Source organism: Homo sapiens, chromosome 8 (genome assembly GCF_000001405.40).
Source record: "Homo sapiens chromosome 8, GRCh38.p14 Primary Assembly".
In the NCBI taxonomy this organism is placed as follows: domain Eukaryota; kingdom Metazoa; phylum Chordata; class Mammalia; order Primates; family Hominidae; genus Homo; species Homo sapiens.
This window is the reverse complement of record NC_000008.11, coordinates 103,998,342-104,019,403: the sequence shown is the minus strand read 5'-3', so window position 1 is coordinate 104,019,403 and position 21,062 is coordinate 103,998,342. Positions and strand designations below refer to the sequence as shown.

General features: G+C 32.5%; 1 protein-coding gene and 1 long non-coding RNA gene across 66 annotated transcripts in view; one reads left to right on the top strand and one right to left on the bottom strand.

The window, feature by feature from the left end:
- RIMS2 (regulating synaptic membrane exocytosis 2) overlaps positions 1 to 21,062 on the bottom strand; it is a 755,485-nt gene that overhangs the window by 236,691 nt on the left and 497,732 nt on the right. For 43 of the 64 annotated variants that reach the window (XM_017014015.3, XM_017014016.3, XM_047422473.1 and 40 more), the window contains 2 exons: positions 5,783 to 5,962; positions 4,789 to 4,898 (listed from right to left, as the gene is read on the bottom strand). In XM_017014015.3, coding sequence (XP_016869504.1) covers positions 4,789 to 4,898; positions 5,783 to 5,962 — 290 coding nt within the window. Of the gene's footprint in view, positions 1 to 1,126; positions 1,196 to 3,947; positions 3,981 to 4,788; positions 4,899 to 5,782; positions 5,963 to 21,062 lie in introns of all 64 variants that reach the window. The other 21 variants (NM_001348492.2, NM_001348495.2, NM_001348489.2 and 18 more) reach the window with 4 other exon arrangements.
- LOC105375689 (uncharacterized) lies at positions 13,523 to 19,578 on the top strand. 2 transcript variants are annotated; one of them, XR_001745678.2, is made up of 4 exons: positions 13,523 to 13,681; positions 16,886 to 16,946; positions 17,030 to 17,096; positions 19,492 to 19,578. It is a non-coding gene; the product is annotated as an uncharacterized LOC105375689 (long non-coding RNA). The 2 variants fall into 2 exon arrangements; XR_001745675.2 differs by lacking the exon at positions 16,886 to 16,946.

The following is a 21,062-nucleotide window of genomic DNA, read 5'->3' as shown; positions in this document are numbered from 1 at the left end:
CTATTATTCATAAATAAAAAGTGGTCAGTTAAACACTTGACAAAATTAAAGGTATTCTGTATTATTCAAAGAAAGTTACAATTAAACTTGATAATTGGTAAGATTAGTATTCAATTCTGAGTTTCAAATAAAAATAGTGAAAATTTGATAAAAGAAGTATATAAAAATATACTGATTTACTGATTATATAATGTTTTAACTTTTTTGAGACACAGTCTCGCTCTGCTGCCCAGGCTGGAGTGTAGTGATGTGATCTTGGCTCACTGCAACCTCTGCCTCCCAGGTTCAAGTGACTCTCCTGCTTCAGTCTCCCAAGTAGCTGGGACTACAGGCACGCACCACCATGCCCAGCTAATTTTTTTATTTTTAGTAGAGATGGGGTTTTGCCATGTTGGCCAGGCTGGGATCTTTTAAGTTTTAAAATCCTTTCAAGAACATTAAACATTATGGTATATAAACATAATAGGGACTTTAAAAACAACAAAAATAAAAGGTATGCATTTCATTTAGAAAGATGGGGAGAAATTATGATTGACAATAAATGTTAGAGTAATATTGAACTGGGATGAAGAAGAGAAGCCTGTAATTGCTTTATTTTAGGAAAAAAATATAATGGAAAAAATGATCATGGTCTATAAATGTTTTAATGGAATTTATATTCCGTTCTATATTTCTTTATAATTTGCTTCTACTAGATTCAAAATCCATAGGAGAATGGGCTAAAGCTTCAACAAAACTGTACTCACCATAACACATGATAAAATATAGTTTTCTAGTAGGTACTCATTAAATATTTTTGAATAAACAAATGAACTGAATGTAAAGCTGGGTAAAGGGTAGGTGTATGTCTTGGTCAGGGGCACTACCTATAATTCTAGTTTGATTTAAACATCAGGGAAAATATTTAGCCAGTTGGGTAAATTAAATATTCTGACAAATTGCCTAGATAGCTTAAGTAATACCCATTCATTAATAAAATGAGGTAATTTATCTTAAAGTTAGTTGTGAAAAACAATCTATTCTTCATTGTGCATTTATAAATTTGGAGCCTAAAGTCTTATGTAAAATTGTAAAGTCATATTTGAAAACAATCACTTATTTATTTTAGATACACAGTCAGACAGACCTGCCTTGACCTCTTCTCCCTGCTTTTCTTCCCCCTGCTCTTCCACATGCTCAGTTTCTTCATTAACTTCTGTACTTGCAGAAGCAAAAGTAAAGAAAAATATAAGACCAAATAGGTATATCTGTTACTCTTCAATGAAACTAAACAAATAACAAATTCTAAATTATTCAGAATGATAAAGACTCCAATAGATACTTATTATTTAGAAACGGAGTCTCACTGTCACCCAGGCTGGAGTGCAGTGGCACAATCACGGCTCACTGCAACCTGCGTCTCCTGGGCTCAAGTGATCCTCCCACCTCAGCCTCCCGAGTAGCTGGGACTATGGGAGTGGGCCATCATGCCTGGCTAATTTTATATTTTTTATAGCGATGGGGTTTCACCATGTTACCGAGGCTGGTCTTGAACTCCCGAGCTCAAGCAATCCACCCACCTCAGCCTCCCAAAGTGCTGGGATTACAGACGTGAGCCACGTGGGCCACTGCAACTGGCCCAATAGGTTATTTTTGATACGTTTCTGACATGCTATAGAAAAGTAAATAAATTTACTGGTTAATTATCACATTGCTTTTATGATGACTTTGATTTGTAAAAGAGAAATTGTGACTTTTAAAATATTTGTAATATGTGGATAACTGGGTAAAGTAGGCAAAATACTTTATATATAAACTTGGTCTATTACTAAAAAAAGTTATATAACTTTTCTTCTAGAAAAAGAGAAAATGACATTTTACAAAATGGCAGTACATAAAAGTTAGGGAAAAATAATAATAATGCCTTATAGTTTTTAGTACATTGTGCTTTCTATATTATTCTTATTTTACTTCTCTGGTTCTAAACAAAGATAAATGGCTAAATATATAACAGACTAAAATATAAAATAATCAAAATCATAAAGAGTTAAATTATGACTTGCTCATATTTTGGCTGTTGAAAAGGATTTGAAAATAAATATTTCAATACTTTAATTCTAAAATAATGCCATTAAATTACAACTTCTCATAATTAACTTTTTAGGTGATAATCCAAACATAATTTGATTTAGACCATCAACTGATAGTCTATTTTGTGTTACTTACTGAAGATTAACTGAAGTTGCGATTTCTAAAAGAGATATTATATATCTTCTTTAAAACTAAAAAAAAAATTGCATAATCTACTGAAGTCTCCATATCAACATTTATAAAAACACTTTAAAAAATCATCCATACTTTTATATAAAACAAAACTAAAAAACAAAACCCCTTTTATTTCATACTAAAAAGGATAAGGGAGGTTTTGGCTCCTCTTTGTTTTATGAAATAAAAAAAATGGAAAAATCACAATTGGGGACTTTAAAGGAAAACTGTGGTTTTAATTAATTTTATAGGGACAAAAACAATAGTAAAGATAATCTTTATTGAGAAGCCCATCAGAAACTTCACCATCTCTGAATTTCAGTATTACCAATAGGCTCTGTTTTCTAGGATACTTGCTATTACAAAGAATAGAGCTACTTATATTTCAATAGACTATTGCTATGAACAACATTAAAAATTCAATTTTAAAAATGTGCATAAATTATAGTTTCTGACTTTAAATGCCAATAAATGATGTTGAAACTCCATCTTTAAAAACACTGAAGAGACAAAAAGTTCCATAAATATTACTAAACTTTCCTTAGGAAAAGTGATTTAAAATTCTATGCCCCCAATTTTAAGCAAATAATTAAGAACTATAAAAATGCTGTGAAGTCTTTTTCTCAGGCAGCATAACAGACCATCAGTCACAATATCACTGGATTGTTCAAAATTATGGTACTTGGAAATAGAAAGAACGACAAAACAGAAGTTGACCATCATCCAGTTAACAAGAACACAACTTATATCAACAAGTTATATAAGGGTATAAAATATTGCTGCTCGAATGCAGCACGCTTACAAATTTGTTACAAATAGGTTACAGAAATACGAATTTAATATAAACATATATATAATGACGAGATTATTTTAGTGGTACTTTGTATACTATTTGAGGTAGCTTTTCCCTTTTTAAATAAATATTTCATGAATTCATTCAACAAAGATTTATTGAGGGTCTACAATGTGCCAGGCATTATTCTATGTGCTAGAGATTCATAAGTAAACAGTCAACAAGTTTTTAAAGATACAAAGTTAATTTCAGATTTCCATAACTGGTAGAGGATTTTGTATTGATCTAGCAAATGTATGACACTCCATATATCACCATTCAGTATTTTCTTCTGAGTCATAATGTAGTGTTTGATAATAAAACTATATCATATTTAACTCTGATATACTGTAAGCAGTCTTGCTACAACATGAAAAATGATGTTGGAAACGCAAGCCACAATCACTTTCTAATTCAACAACTTTCTTTTCTAGAAAGCCAAATTTAATAATTAAAAACATCATCATAAAAAATGAAATATATGATGGTAAATATAACTACACTATGTGTACATCCTCAATGATGTAAACGTAGACTGCAATTGATATCTTTGGTTAAAGTCTTACTCGAAATCTAGTTTCTGGTTAAAAGGTACATAAAAATTTTATGAAAGAGCACATTTTATCTGGTCATTTAAAAGAATTTAAACTCTTTGCATTCTTATTTGATGAATCAAAGATATTTAACTCCTTGGTATAATTTCCAAGTTAAAAAAAAGTTGAATACTTTGTCAGATATCATAAAACAAAATAATTTTACTGTATTTAAGTCTACACAACGAAAGGACATCAATTGCAGTTGGGTTTATTTTTGCTTACTAGCCCCCCAAAAAGGCTGTTAGCACAAAACAAACCCTCTTTTATGTACAGACCTTCATAAGGTTCTATCTCCTTGACTCCATTGTCTAGGGAAAACAAAATAAAAACAAAAAACAGAACAAAAACAAACAAACAAAAAGGGAACCAAAGCACAGGGGTTAAAAACAACAGAAATTTCCAAAAGCACAGAATGTATTATCTACTAGAGAAAAGTTAAATGATTTAAACTTATATGTATTATTTGCAAAGCACATCCAGTTACTAAATAAAGGGATCATTTAAAAAATGATCTTAAAAACCATTATATTCAGTTATCCATGCTTTTAGAGGTCCTTTATCCAAGAATTTATAGATGTTTGGGAAGTATGTTCATGTGAGTGTCAGCAAATAGTGCTTCTTATGCAAAAATGTAAAATTAATAAAACATCAGTACAACATGCATCTTTCATTGTATATTCATGATTACCTTTTTCTTGTTCTCCAGTTTTGAGAAGGATCACCATTGTGCATCAGCTAACCAGTCCTTTGCAGTGTGTGAAAATTGATTTGGCTAGTTACTAATAAACTTTATATAACTATCAACAATTACATAAACTTATTTGTAGCAAAGAAATATTATCCAACAACTTATTTAAGAGTATTGTTTACTTTTTAAGATGCATTTATTCAAATTTAAAAATGTGCAAGAGCAATAAAGATACCTTATTTTACCTGGAAATATTACAAATTTTTATTCAAAAATACATAATATTTATAAATATAACTATTATCAAATACAGACAAGGCATACAATTAACAAAAGAAGAAAATTAACACAAAGGTAATAAGAAAATCTTGATTCACCTTAGCTTCCATGTGTATTTCCTAAACGAGACAATTAGAAATAAAACTTACTTCTATCCAACGTTCCCTTTGGTGGAAGCTGTGGAAGCTGTCGGCCCCTTCGTCCTGCGACTGGAGTACTTGATGGGCTTGTCTGGACAGACCCAGTACGAGGATGAGACCTAAAGACACACCATTAATATTCATTTTCAGTATAATGAGTTACATATTTTTAATACCTACATTTGGTTCATATGATAGCTGTATAAATACAATTTAAAAAGAAGTTTAGCTGCAGATTAAAAGGTTAGGAAAACTGGACAAAATATGGATATCTGAATGATTAAATAGCAAAAGATGTTTATTTTTGGTGTAATATGCATACATACACATACATGCACACAAAACCCTACAGTAACATCCATGGAATTATTAATGTAAATTAGTACTCTATCCATTGAAAGCAAGAGGAGAATTTCGCTGCTCAAGAAAGAAAAGGTAGTACTTTTCTTTCTACCAGATTTCAAACTTTCAGCACTAACCTTTCTCCCTTGATCCAGAGATTTTTACTCAGGCTTATATTAAATATCCCTTTATTAGAAAACATTGCATGAAACTACAAATAAAATCCTGAACAATTCAAGATTCAACTAAGGAAAATACTGGTTAATACATAATATTAGTATCGATAGAAAGAAACTTAAAAAATCTAGTTTTATTTATAATCATTATGATGATTTGAAAAGTGATGTGTAATGGACACAGATAGTTTCTCATTCTGTAGGAGAGGAACATGACAGTTAATGACAGAATTTACCCAGGACTCCTGATTAATGAGAAATCACAAAACAAATGCAGTCAGGACAGTTAATAAACAAATTACAATGGTAGCCACACACTATTATATCCAGTGAATATAAATAGTGTGTTTACATTGAAAAGGTTAGTATCGATTGTTACTAGTGATCAGCCAAAGATGATAGAAGAGACCAGTTAACTGTTGGGAAAATAAAATGGTGTGCTGGTGGGGCAAAGGGGAAATTAGTCTGATTGATTTATCTTTCACCTCGATAAGGCAGGTGAAGGAGGGGCAGATCTTCCAGTCATTAATGAAGGCATCGACCTCATGAGGTTTGTATCAGGACGTTCAGTGGATCTGGAGCGGGTGGTGGTCCGCTCAAGGAGAGGCCGTTGTTCTGTTGATCTGGATCTGTGATATGGCTGTCTATCTGCTGCTTCACAATCCCTGAAACGTTAGTCAAAAAGCAGCTCAGTTGATCTTTAGTGCCCTTCTGCTATTTGGTTATGATGCATCAAACTGATTTTGAAAAAGGTAATTGTTTAAAATTATGGAGTATGTAAAAATTTTTCTTTTCCCCAACATATTCTGAGCAATTTCAAACGAAACTTGTTAAGAATTTCTAAAAAACCAAAATCTGCCTTTCAAAGTAATTCCCAGCAAAGATAATAGTTGCTCAGTTATAATAAACAACAAACAAAACTGCCTGCTTTCCAAAATGAATTCCCTAAATGGAATACGTGAAATATGTGAATTATTCTATTTTAAAAGAATTCAATGACTTTTCCTAACATTTTCAAGAGTGAAGAAAACCATATAAGCATTAATTCTGTAGCACCTGAAGCTGTTTAGTACTATACCAACTAAGATATAAAAAGGCTTTCAGAAAACACTATACACCTGAACATTTAAACAGAAGAATCAAAATGAGGTTATAAGAAAATAGGGTGACTGTGAAGTCTGTAGCCATATTTAAACCTGATCCACAAGAAAAATCACTCTGTAGAAAACTGGTTAACTGGCTGTCTATCTTGGTGCACTTTAGCTATGCCAACTGATTCAATTCAGAGTGGGTATTAATTGAAATAATAATTCTGAAACAACATGATCTCTTTGACCACAAACAAATCTAATACCAAAACTTAATCCTTGTTGAAGGAAGTATCCTTAAATTTAAGCAACCTCTCATTGTTGACCTTTCTATCCCTGGAACCTAGCATAATACTTTTACATTTAACATGATCAATAAATGTTTCCTAACATCAGCCCCACAATTTGGGAGATGACTTTAAAAACACTAGCTTTGGCTCCAGAATTCAAAAGTAAAACATATGTCAAAGTATATTTCAAATAAAATTATCACCTCCCCATCCAGTTGTAAGCACAAAAATGGAAATGCTTATATAATATAGACAGTCAAGAAAGCATTAGTCTCCCTCAAAGCTAATGTTTCAATGACATCCACTTTACCTATAAGTTATCTCAACCTTATTTTGGATAATGAAAAGTGCAAGTAATTTAAAAAAAAAAAAAAGAAAAAAAGGACATAATTTCCCAAATGTCATGAATTATATGGCAAACAATTTTGTACTACTTGATATTAGATTAGGTGACTTTAGAAAGTGAATATTGGCTTTATTCTACACCATATCTTGTGATTATTTTACATTTTAAAGTCATAGGGTAACATAAAAGTCAGAGCATTTTTAAATACTTTTAAGTCCATATACTATCATGTGATTTACTTTCTAAGTTTAGTATTTTCATATAAGTGCCTCAGGAACATGTCAAATTAACTGACATTAAATGTAAATATATAAAAAATATTTAATTACTAGTAACAGTTAAATGGTAAGAGAAATGAAAAGGTAACCTCATAGTGTAAATATCACAGCTGTCTTTTTGTTTCTGAAAAACTATTTTAAAGGAACACTTTTCTTTACAAATAAGTGTGTTCAGTAGTTTGCTGCATGTTTTTAGTCTAACATCTTTATATATCTTCATCACAATCAACAGAAACAAAGGGTATATCTATGTATTATTTCTTAAATTGCTTAAAGCCTATTTTTAAGAGTACCAATCTTTACATTTATTTAAAGATTCATCTTACATTAATTATAAACATCTTATTATATAACAAATCTTTGGGAAATAGCTACAATTACCCTAGCAGAAAGTTAGACTAATATTTCATGTATTTATATACAATTTCATTTATTCTGATTCCATCAAGAAATTTTTCCAAGTGGAAAGTGGAGTAAATGTTAGGATATGCAATTTCACTTCTTTGTGAAGAATCATTTTTAATAATTGAAAAATATGATAATGAGTGAAAACCAGAGAATTATTTTAAATGTGTTGCTATGTCCTATGTCCTCAAAAGGAGACCATTATTTATAAAACAGAGGTCACTCCTTAGGAAGTAGCTCTTACAAAAAATGTCTCGTTATAAAAAAGTTGTTTGAAAATTAACCCATCTTTTACATTTTACTTATATATTTTTCTCCGTAAATACAAAGTATATATTAAATAAATACCATAGTGTGAAATGAAAATAGGTTAATAAATGAAAAATGAAAAGAACCACAGTAGAAGGTAGAAATTTCCCCAAATGTCCCAACACAGTTAAGGGGAATGGAAAGCTACCACATTTTAAACTTTGACAGCACATAAGAGAAGGCTGACACAGGCTCCTGCTCCCACATTGGATAAAAATAGGTCTGACTAGCTTAGACACAATGTTACTGCTATGAAAATTTAAAGCAGCAATGCCTAAATTACACAGTCTTACATCAGGTCCCTTAAAGGGATTGAGATATAGTACTCACAAACTCCCACCAAAATTCTGAATTAGTTTTAATTTTAAGATGAGAATATATAATTAATTTTGAATAGCAGCAACTGAAAAGTGGGAAATAATAAATACTTGCAAGGCTTAAAATATTTTAGGGCCCACTTGGGGTTCTTAACTTGGAGTGTTTATTTCAATATAAGTCATTTCCTCTGTAACCATTTTATTTACCTTATTTTATGTTATGCATATAAAATATTATTCCAAAAAGAGTGGCCATGGTTTTATCAGATTACCAAAGGGTAAGCCACTGAAAAAGCCAGGGCCCCCTCACCTGTAAATTTAAATCTTTCTTAGGTAAATAATTCCATTGTCTTTTAAAAAGTGATTTAATATCTATCACTGTTACATTTTTTGAATAGTTTATATTTTCTAATCTCTATTTATAGTTCTTTTTTTTGTACTTGAATTGATCTAGGCTACTGTCCATCATTATCTAATGGGTGCTATTCTAAACTGCATGCGTTCACAAAGGATACTGTGTATCAGCCCCTCCACTAATTTACATTGACTAACAATGTTATAACAATACATACTATTGTTAACAACCCAGTCTTAAAAGCACATTATTAGCATATGCAGATTTTGAGATGAGGATGAACTGACAATAGGCCACAATAATAAAGAGAACAACTTAGAAGGCCTTTGTCTTAAACAGCAATCTTTATGCATAAGAAAAACTAAAACTGAAAGTGTTCAGTATTTATTTTCAGTCATTCTAAGGGAAAAATAATTTTATAATCATCCAGCAAAGTTGTCAGTTTTGAATCATTTTTTTGGGTCAACATAGTTGCTCATAAAAGATTTTTTAAAATTTCCAAGTATTTGATGCAACTTCCTACCTATTTTTTCAGTTTTGCGATGTACTTTAGGTTTCTTAATTCAATGAAAGGACAAGGGATTTGTATGCAAGGGATTGTATGCAAGGGAATTGTCTTGCAAGGGATTTCCCTCTAGTAGTGGGAACTCTTGTCTATAACCCAATGTTATTGCCTGTCATCCGTCCGTCCGTCCATCCGTCCGTCCATCCATCCATCCATCCATCCATCTATCCATCCATATCTTTCACAATGATACAACTCCAGATCAAAGTAAGCTCAATGTAGAGTATCTCTACAGGTATGATAAATACTAAGAATACTAAAACTCAGAAATCAATGAAAATTTCCCCAATATGTAACTCAGGACCTAGTCTGTATTAAATCAGACTTATTTCATGTTTATATTGGAAAGATGTCATAAGTAAATGTAATAGGTTTTCTTGAAAAGTAAATTTGTAAAAAGTAAAGCTACTTAGGAATTATTCTTTTCCTTTATAAAGCTGACATCTTAAATTTAAAAAAATTGGATATATCTCTGAAGAACAAGTATGGTCTCAGGTTTGGGCAAGAAATGACTTCTCTATATCCATACTGTATAGAATAAGCTGATCAATAGCAGAAGTGCCTGACACAGTGGCTCATGTCTGTAATCTCAACACTTTCAGATTGAGGCAGACAGATGGCTTGAGCTTAGGTGTTTGAGACCAGACTGGGCAACATGGTGAAACCCTGTATCTACAAAAAATAAAAATAAAAAATAGCGGGTGTGGTGGCAAACACCTATAGTCCTAGTTGTTCAGGAGGCTAAAGTGGGAGGATTGCTTGAGCTCAGGAGGTCGAGGCTGCAGTGAGCTGTGATCATACCATTGCATTCCAGTCTGGGTGACAGAGTGAGACCCTGTCTCAAAAAATAATAAAAAAAAAAACCAGCAGAAACATTATATTTTTGTTAAAATATCTTGAATGTCTACAGATTTTCTGGGCGTTAACTGCATAACTGAAGTATAAATATATGATAAAATATACTAGAAAACATTAAAAATGAAACATTTTAGAATAATTAATATAGCATATATACATATTTGTATATAATAAATAACTTAAAGTAATTATGACAACTTTAAAATTACAATTCTCATGTTCATCATTAATGTGCAAGATTAACTTTTTAAAAATTCTAGCTCATTATTTTAGCATCGTTTCTAATGTTATGAGGATTGCAAGATACAAAATATTTGCCATAGAAATCATGGTAAATAAGCAAATAGGTAATGTGCACGAATACGAATATTATATTATTTTGGAGGAAGATTAATTTATCCTTGGGTGTAATAGCATTATTCTACAGAATCTTTCTGTTGAGTTAGATGTAAAGACTCTATGTTAGTTAAAAGTAAATAAGCTTATTCAAAGATGACAACAATATTTAGAGTCAGCCAAGTTAATAACAATATAAAATGTGAAAATGGTATAATATATATATTGATGTGACAAAGCAAGACACCATTCACGTAGAAAAAAATTACTATTACCCACAAGCCTATTATTTTATTATCAAAAAGAGAAGTATTCTCACATCTACAAAGGTATTTAAAAAATATATTCATTATTGAAAATTGCATGAAGAAATGACCAAACGTCCCAATTTCCTCAAGAAAATTAGGGACAAATACAATACTGAACAGTAACATATACTGTATTATTAAACACACACACACACACACACACACAAACATATAAGATGTAAATATTTTGAAGATATTTTTAGTATATTAAATATTTATAATTTTCATTGTTAATTTTTATTTAAAAAATAACAGAAACAAAACCACAAATAAGCAGGAATATTTACCCATAATAATTAATACAGAACAAATTAATAAATCTTTAAAATATAAATTTTAAGAATACTGAGAGATAATATGACATGTTACCTGTAAAATCCTTATTTTTATGAAATAGGTTCCCATATTCAGTGAATGTTTGAATTTAATAATGATTTGTCAAATGTAAAAATTAAAGTTATTCCACCAAGGTACTGGCCCTACTTTATCACTTCCCAGATTCTCAGATTCCATAAAATAGCAAACATTTTTAAAAGTATATCTCTAAACAATATAATTATGAATTGCTATTGTATTATATCAGTATATCTGATGAGGTATGGCTCTCAAGCTAGAATACAGATTCAATAGTTTCACTGATCAATTTTGAACAATTCACCAGCATTCCTTTTGTTTTGCTGTTTTTACGTGGATAGAGAAATGGGTATAATACAAATCCCTCATATGCACTGTTGCCTGCTGCCAGTAGCAGTCACTTCATAATAAGTCCAAATCTCATACTCAGATGTAGCAGTCTGAAGGTTGTTTAATGCTCCCCAACACCCCAACTAACAGAACAAAATTTGTGCTCATTTTCAAGCATAAATACTATCTGCCTCAGTCATTACTGATCATATGATCTCAACATTCAATACCAATTTATTGGAAACACAAAAAAAGCATGACAAATAAGACCTACTGTTAAGGACAAAGCCACCAACAGAGGCCAACTAAGAGATGGTATAGATGTTGAATCTATCAAATGGGGAATTTGAAATAAGTCTGCTTGATATGGTAAAGACTGTAGTAAAAAAGATGAACAGCATGCATGAACAGATGGGGAAATTTCAGCAGACACATAGATGATGGAAGATAAAATAGTCAAATGGAAATGCTAGGAATAACAGAAAGCAGAATATGTAAAATGTTAGTTAAAAAATTAGATCGGAATCCGTTTATGACAATTTTTAATGTCTAGTTAAGAGGTTTAAACAGTTTAATTTTCAATGAGAGTAATAAGAAAAACTTCTGAACAAAGGTAATTTCCAAGTAATAAATTAAGAAGAATAATTCAGCAGTAGCGCAGAGAATGAGCTAGATTAGGAAAAGGCTCTGACTTGTAGTAATGAGGGTGGAAATAGAGAAGAAGGTATGAATGATAAACATTACAAATCACAATATACAAAATATGTAATATAAAATATAGAGAACATACATAATATTCAGAAGCATACAAACAATGTTAGTGATAGAAGGAATCTCAGAAGTTATATAATCCAAACTCTCTCACTTTAGAAATGAGCAAACTAAGGCTTATAGAAGCTTGAATGAATTCACATAATTTGATATTTTCTGGGCTGGAACTTGAACTGGGCTGTCTTTATTCTAAGCCTGTTAATTTCACTGAACTGTGTTTTCTTTGATAGCAGGGATAGTTTTTTCTCTCAATAATGTTTGACAAATCACCATATAAATTAAATATAAAAAAACCTTTAAAATTTTCAGCCTCAGAAATGAAATGATGATCTATTAACAGAAATTAAATAGTTCAAAAAAGGCACATACAAAAACCCAAACCCAAATATATATATATATTATCAGTAAAGCACTGGAGGTAGAGGTCAAATTGTAGAAGGTTAAGGCTTAGGAGCTGATGGAGTGAAGGAAGCATATGTAAAAATACACACTTGAGATATCTGACCTAAGTAAAAAGAGAGAGACACAGAGAGAGAGAGAGAGAGAGAGAGAGAGAGAGAGAGAGAGAGAAATAGATCACTCTCAAGTTAGCTTGAAGGGGTAGCAGAACAGAAAGAAGGTATTATTATTATTGTTTATTTTTATTTTTGAGGAGTTTTGCTCTTGTTGCCCAGGCTGGAGTACAATGGCACCATCTCAGCTCACCACAACCTCCACCTCCCAGGTTCAAGTGATTCTCCTGCCTCAGCCTCCTGAGCAGCTGGGATTACAGGCATGCACCACCACGCCCGGCTAATTTTGTATTTTTAGTAGAGATAGGGTTTCTCCATGTTGGTCAGGCTGGTCTCAAACTCCCGACCTCAAGGTGATCCGCCCACCTCGGCCTCCCAAAGTGCTGGGATTACAGGCGTGAGCTACCGCGCCCAGCCAGAAGGTATTATTAAGACAATTTCAACAGTAATTTGCGGAGAAATAAAATCAGTAAAGGAAGAAAGATTGAAATACAACAGAAACAAGAAATAATAAATGCAGGAAAATTCTAGAGAAACTAAGATAGGCTAGAGTCAGAAATGTAAATAGAACTTAGTTTTGATGGAGAACAAAACAGTTGTAAGAGGACAGAAGATGATTTGTAATGTAGAGAAATTAAGATTAAAAATGATAGCAGTTGGGAAAGTGTGTTATTGGCTTACATCACATTGACTAAGAGTTCTCAGCACTACCTTACATGTAGGGAATCTTTAAGAAAACAGTCTACGTAGAACATAGAACATAGTCTATGTTCTACATAGACTGTTTTCGTCCTTTACCATGACTCCACTAGCTTTGTCAGAATCCTTTCTTTAACCAGGGTTCTAGTTATGTTACCCATCTTGACAAAGGACCATCATTGCCTCTCTTCAAACTTCATAGCAGCCCTCATCATTAATCTGGACACAGGTCAAACCTGTCCAGGGACCCTCAGCCAGTTCTGGTATTAAAACAACTGACAATTAACTTAGAATATTTTAATTTAATCAGTTCTATTCAAGTATGTTATCTCTGTGATTCTTGGCTATCAAGTAAAAGGCTATCCCCACTGCCCCCTGATATCTTCTCTCAAAATTCTTCATTTACTATACTCTCTTCCATACCATTCTTAATCTCTTCTAATTCTCTTCTGTATTTTTGAGAATCCTTACTCCATTGTTAATAAACTTCCTTAAACATCAACCTTCCTGCAGGATGGTTTTTGCATATTCTTGCCTTAAATAACATTTAGTTCAACTGTGTAGCCTCTGCTTCCATTGTAGCCTTCATCTGCAGAAGCTACTTATTCTTTCACATTTCACAGTCCAGGAATCCAGGAGGGGAAGCTGGCTCCCTAGAGACATTTCTGACAATTACCCCCCGAATCATAATGGACATAGTCCTTACTTCTCTTAAGCATTCCACTTGGCAGTAACATTCATTATTAATACAGGTTGCTATTATCTATCCAACTTCCAATCACTATCCCTTAGTCATTGGTAATTTTAGGGATTGACTATGGTAGTGCTAGAAGATTTCAATGCAAAGGCAGAAAATCATTGAACAATCATGAACCCCAGTCTCCAGATTTTCAAGACTGCAATAACCCTTACCTTATTCTGGCATCAGTCCCACCAATTCCTGGCAGTATATATCACCATCTTTGACTTTCTTCTTTCCTTATCCACCCTGGACTCTATGACTGATCATCTGAACCACTCCCATACAGCGCTCAGATTCCCTTCTAACCAATCTTCCTACTCACACAGTCATTAAAACACTAACAATGGTTTAATAACAAACTTAATTTCTCTCTATTAGCATCCTTTTACTCAGCTTCACTTCTCCCATCTATTTTCTTCCTGTCTCAGTGGTAAATAATAGCTTCTTTCTGTTCACAAAATCCATCTGTGTGTTTAGTCTGATGACCTCCTACCTCCCCTAAGACTCTTCTTCCAATCATTCTGTCTTTTTTCTGTATTTTTGACTTATCTTTCTCTAAAACATTCTTTGCTCCAGTGTGGGAACACATGGACATATTTCTTACTCGAAGGGAAAGAAATATCTTTTGATATCACATATGCTATCTAATTTTTCTCCTTCACACTTTCTTGATAAGTTCATTTTCTTATCTCCTGGTCATACTTAGGCTACTGCAACCTGTTTTTTCCCCCCTCACCATCCTTCTAAAATTACCCCAGCTAAAGTCATCCATGACACCTCACTTGACATATCCAACAGGCATTTTTCATTCATTATTTTTACTGTAATGTTATTACTTTCTTCTTGAAACTATTCCTTTAGCTCTCGTCATTCCACTTTTCTCATTCTTTATGTCACTCAGAAGCTCCTCTTCCTCCCTCTGCCACTTAATGTTAATGTTCCTCAGGCAGGGAAAAACTTCTAAGCCCTCATTTCATGGGTTGTTTCTCAGACTGATTTCACTTACTTTTTATGACTGCTTACCATTAGTAGTGAATTTACTCTGAAATTACTCTGTAGCTTAGGTAACTTCAAGTTCAAAAATTGTTTACTCTGTTCCTGCTAGATATTTCCTCTTAGCTTTCTCAGTAATTCCAAAACTGAACTTGTCTCACACCTAAACTGATTCCTCCCCTAAGAACCCACTTGGACCCTGTTAAGGTACCTTATGAATCTAGTTATTGAAGATATAAGACTGGGAATTTTTCATGACTCTGCACTCTCTCAAAATCCAAATTCCATTATTTATCAAGTATTGCTGATTTTAATTTATTAAAACCACTATTTTCTCTCTGTTCTTCCATCTACTACATGTCTCTCTTTTGCTTTTTTCTCTTCAAATCGATCATTCACGTAGTCTATAGGTAGGTACTCTAAGGTGAATGAACTTGTTATCACCATTTCTAATTAAATCCCTTCCAAGTACCTCTAGAACCTACAGTCTTTGATCTAAGTTCCTTAACATTTATGAAGAGTATATAAGATTCTTCAGGCTAGGAATGGTGGCTCACACCTATAATCCCAGTGCTTTGGGAGGCCAAAGCAGGCGGATCACCTGAGGTCAGGAGTTCGAGACTAGCCTGGCCAACATGGGGAAAAACCATCTCTACTAAAAATACAAAAATTAGCCAGATGCAGTGGCACATGCTTGTAATCTCAGCTACTCAGGAGGCTGAGGCAGGAGAATCGCTTGAACCTGGGAGGTGGAGGTTGCAGTGAGCCAAGATCATGCCATTGGCACTCCAGCCTGGTGACAGAGTGAGACTCCATTGCAAAAAAAAAAAAAAGATTCTTCACAAGTGGAACACTCTCTATCATTCCAGATTCATTTCTTGCTATTTCCTGCCTTGCCAATAATGTTACAACAATTCTAAAATACGATATTTATTACTTCTGTGACCCTGTTCATACATTTCTTTAAAATGTCACAAATATCCTCCCTCACCTCCACATCAATCTAAATAATTCCTATTTATTCTTTAAGATACAGCTGAGTTGTTGTGTCTTCCATGATACTTTACATAAAAATCTAGCTGCCCACCATAGATGTTAGTAGTTCCTTAATATGTTGTGTATAGCTCTAAGCAGGGATAAGTACTAGAAAAATAAGTAGGGTACAAAGGTAAATGTTAAAAAAGGTTATATTTATTAAAATAAAGGGTATATTTTAATAAAGAGATATTAATAAAGGGTAACATGATATCCATCCTAAACATGTTTGTTCAAATGAGTGAATTTAAAAATGCACAATGAATCAAATATTATTTCATACTAGTTAGCATAACCTGGACAGAAGACATGCTTTGATTTCTAGTGTTAGTTAATATTGTCTCTTGAAGTAATATAAAAAAAGCTTAGCAAACATTATTTAAGTCTCTACTCTCCTGTTCCCAAAGAGGTAGTCCTCATAACTTTTCATGTTATACCCCAGGGTAGAGAGACCAGTGAAAGCCCAGCTTCTTCTAATGGAGTGGGCATAACTGGGGATGCCATGTTAAATTTACTACCTTCATCCCATTCATTTAGAAAGTTCCAGATATCATATAGCCAAACTATGGCCCAACTGAAGCTATTAATACATATTTTATTCCTAGGAAACAATTTCCAGTTGAAAGTATATGCTACCTTGAAAACGAGGCTAGAGAACTGAATACTTAGATACTGATGCTACTTTCTTTTTCCACAGCTCTCAATAAAAAAGTTACTTTTTATTGTCCACTTTTATGTGGTCAATTATTTTGACTCAAGTAAGTAAAAATTTGGATAATCTAGTCCAAAAACAATTCTACAAGAGAAAGAGAGTAATCCAGGTTTGAACTTTGTTAAATAGGTAAAAGAAGAACAATGCAGCAAGAGAATTGAGGATATTTTTGAGAATGGATTCAACTTCTGGATATGTAAGTAGATAAATAAAGATGGAGGCTAACAGCAAGAATAAAGGGATCAAGAGAGTAGCATTCTCTACTGAGACAGAAGAACAAGTGAAGTAGAAATAACTTAATGAAACAATAAGAAAAAAAAAGTGTGCAATCATGGAGTCCAAGGGCATAGTATTCAAATTAAGATTTTAGAGCTAGAACAATTTCTACTGATAATAAAATGTAAAGTATGGTCATGAGAGTGACCGACCAAAGTAGAATTGGAGGTAAAGCTTGCTACATTAGAGAAAGTTAAGGAAGTGAGTGGGTGCTAAATAGATTATTCAGGTAAATGCTGACATTACTCAGGCTTGATGGCAGGAACTGTGAAGTTTAGGAAGACTACAGCCAGGTTCTAAAATCATCCGTGAATAAAATGATATTACTAAGAGCTCAACAAATGACAGCAACAAGGAAGGGTAGTGGGTGGTTGTGTTTAGTTGCATTACATACAAAGGTACAAGATATAAAAATAACAATCACGAAACATTACAGAAATAAATACAGGAGAATGGATAGATTACTAGGTCAGCATTCACATGTTCAACAAATGTCCAAAAAAAGGTCAGTCCAAGAATCTCAAAGTGGATTGGGATGGAGGTCAGAGGGAAGAGAAACTTAGAAAGTTAGTAGAGTAAATAACAAATGATCAAAGTCCCTTAAAAAAGATAAAAAAAAGAGAAAGTTACACTGCAAACTCAGCATAGCATTTATTACTTCTGTGAAAGAGGCACAAGGATATAACAGGCAAGGAGAGTGCAGGGAAATATAAGATACATAATTAGATGTTCTGTTCTTGGTTTGGGTGGTAGATTCAAGGATGTTCATGTTATTACATTGTGTTGTAACTAATACACATTCATTTATATGTAGCAAAATTGGAATGAAAGCTAATATTTTTAAAAAATTTATGGATACATAATAGTTGTACATATTTATGGGGTACTGTTACATTTTGATACAAATATATAATATGTAATGATCAAATTTGGGTAATTGGGATATACATCACTTCAAACATTTACATTTCATTGTGTTGGGAACATTTCAAATCTTCTCTTCCAGATATTTTAAAATATACAGTAAGCTATTGTTAATTATAGTTGCCTGACTGTGCTATTGAACACTAGATTTTATTCCTTCTATCTAGCAAAGATTTCTTGAGTAAGACCTCAAAAACACAGGCAACCAAAGCAAAAATTGACAAATGAGATTCTATCAAGGTGAAAAGCTTCTGTACAGTTTAGAAAACAATAAACAAAGTGAAGTGACACCTACAGAATGGAAGAAAAAATTTGCAAGCTATTCTTCCAACAAGGGATTAATAAACAGAATATATAAGGAACTCAAACAACTCAATAGCACAAAATAACAATAATAATCTGATTTTTTAAAATGGATAAAATATTTGAATAGACATTTCTCAAAAGAAGACATACAATGGCCAACAGGTATATAAAAAAATGCTCAACATCACTAATTATCAGAGAAATGCAAATCAAAACCACAATGAGATATCATTTCACCCAGGTTAAAATGCCTATTATAAAAAAATTCTGAAAATAACAAGTGCTGGAGAGAATGAAGAGAAAGGGGAGTGCTTGTACACTGCTGGTGGAAATATAAATTAATACAACCAGTATAGAAAACAGTATGGAGGTTCCTAAAAATCTAAACATGGAACTATCATATGATCTAGCAATCCCTTTGCTAGGTATATATTCATGAGAAAGGAAATCAGTATGTTGAAGAGATACCTGCACTCCCATGTTTACTGCAGCACTATTTACAATAGCCAAGATATGGAATCAACCTAATTGTCCATCAACAAATGAATGCATAAATAAAATGTGATATGTATACACACAATGGAGTATCAGCTAAAACAGAAAGAATAAAATCAGGTATGAAATGCATGATTAGCAAGAAGAATGAAAATGGAGGACATTATATTAAACGAAATAAGCTAGGCACGGAAAGACAAATATTGCATGTTTCCACTCATATATGGGAGCTAAAAATTGATCTCATGGAGGCAGTGAATAGAATGGTAGTTACCAAAGACTGGGAAGGATAGTAGAGAGAAGGAGATGAAGAGGGGTTGGTTAATGGGTACAAAATATTTTTTAAAAAAACAAAGGAACTTCATTCTTACAAATTCTACCCATATTGTCTAGGTCACTAGACTTAGGTCCTCAAGAGTTTCTGTTGCACTAGGGCAAGGCAAATACTTTAATACATATAAAATAAATATTACATATACATGTAAATATACATACTAAATCCTACATTAGATATTTGATAACTTGCTTGTGGAAACAGATTTTTCCATGTTATATTTTAATATAAACATTAATGATCTCTGTTTTCTCAGCACAAACCAAATTGTGGCACAGAAAGACAATTCATAAATGTCTTCTTCAAAATGGGCCAATTAGGCCGAAGTTGAGAATTTGGGGAAAAGTACAAAATTGAGATGATCAAGAACTAATTCTAGCTACATTGCTGAATGGAAAAACTAAGTAACATGAAGCAGATAACCTATCTGTTGATAACTGAGACTAAGAAAATACAAACTATTGAAAAAGTGATGTGATATGACTTTAACTTAGCATGAAATGAAGAGACACCAGAGTATATACAGTAAGTCTATAATCAGTAATGTCTCATTCATGTATGTCACCCACCTTTAAGTTTAGCCAATTATCAAAATACAGTTATATAACTACTTTTCCATATTTTTGTAAGGTAAATGTATAATTACTGAAAGTAAAAAATAGTCGGAATGCAACATATAGCAACAGTAAAAACAAAAAACAACAAAAGATAATTATTTAGGATTGAAGCAGAATAACAAAAAAGAGTGAAAAAATGCAAAAGAAAATTAAATATAGCAATAACCATTATCATATAATAAACTGGAAGGCACTAAATTTCAATCATATTTGCTGAAAGACATTACAAAAGTTACTAGTAAATTACTGTTGCTATTACCTCTTATGTTTCCTTTCACATTAACCCACATAAATAAAATACTTATAAATTTACTCTTTAGTTTTTAATCAATTTTATAAACTATTTTATTATCAACTCTTAGTTAATTTCATAGGGATGAAGGAAGTCACACATAACTCTAAATCACTTAGAAACAACAGTCAAGGTGACCAACCATGGCACATAATTCCTAATTTATACTAGCTAAGCCTTCCACCACATTATTTCTTTACCTAAAGGATCTCAAATGTTGTCACTGGCTCAAATCTCTAAATCTCCATACAGCCTTGAGAACTTTTCAGATTTTAGAGATCTTCTCTCTCTTTTCTTTCTAATTAACCCCTCTTTCTAGTTAACCCTTCTTGCTATTATATGCCAGGTAACTGAGATTTCCCTCCAATGTAAATTATATTTCCTTAAGGCATTGTAGCTGTACTATCTATGATTCACTGCAAATTCCCACTTTGGAAAGAGAAATGGTGGTAGGGTAGAAATGAACAAGTGTTTTCTCACAGACTCAGTATTCTCTGCAGATAAGGATTATCTACTATGACAAAGGAGTAGATTACAGCCACCTCTGACAAGGCAACCACAAACAAATCAGTTCAACCTAAGCACTTCAAGGACAGATTCCTCTACTCTGGAGGTGGGAAAGTGAGTTTTCAAGACCTATGCCATCTAAATACCTAATTATGGACTCTGCTGAGGAAGGTGAGTAGTCAACTGGAGTTAATTTAAAGATAATACTGTTATTCTATATTTGTAGATAAATAGAGAGTTAACTGTAATTCCTGATGAACTAAATTTTTAGAATCACCAAAGAGATTCTCCTAATTTACAAAAGGGACACTGTATTTTTTATGTCCTACTACAATTAGTTAATACGTTTTATTTCATGTTATTTTATGTGGGTGATATTTCTATATTTCATTAACAACCATATATGTATAT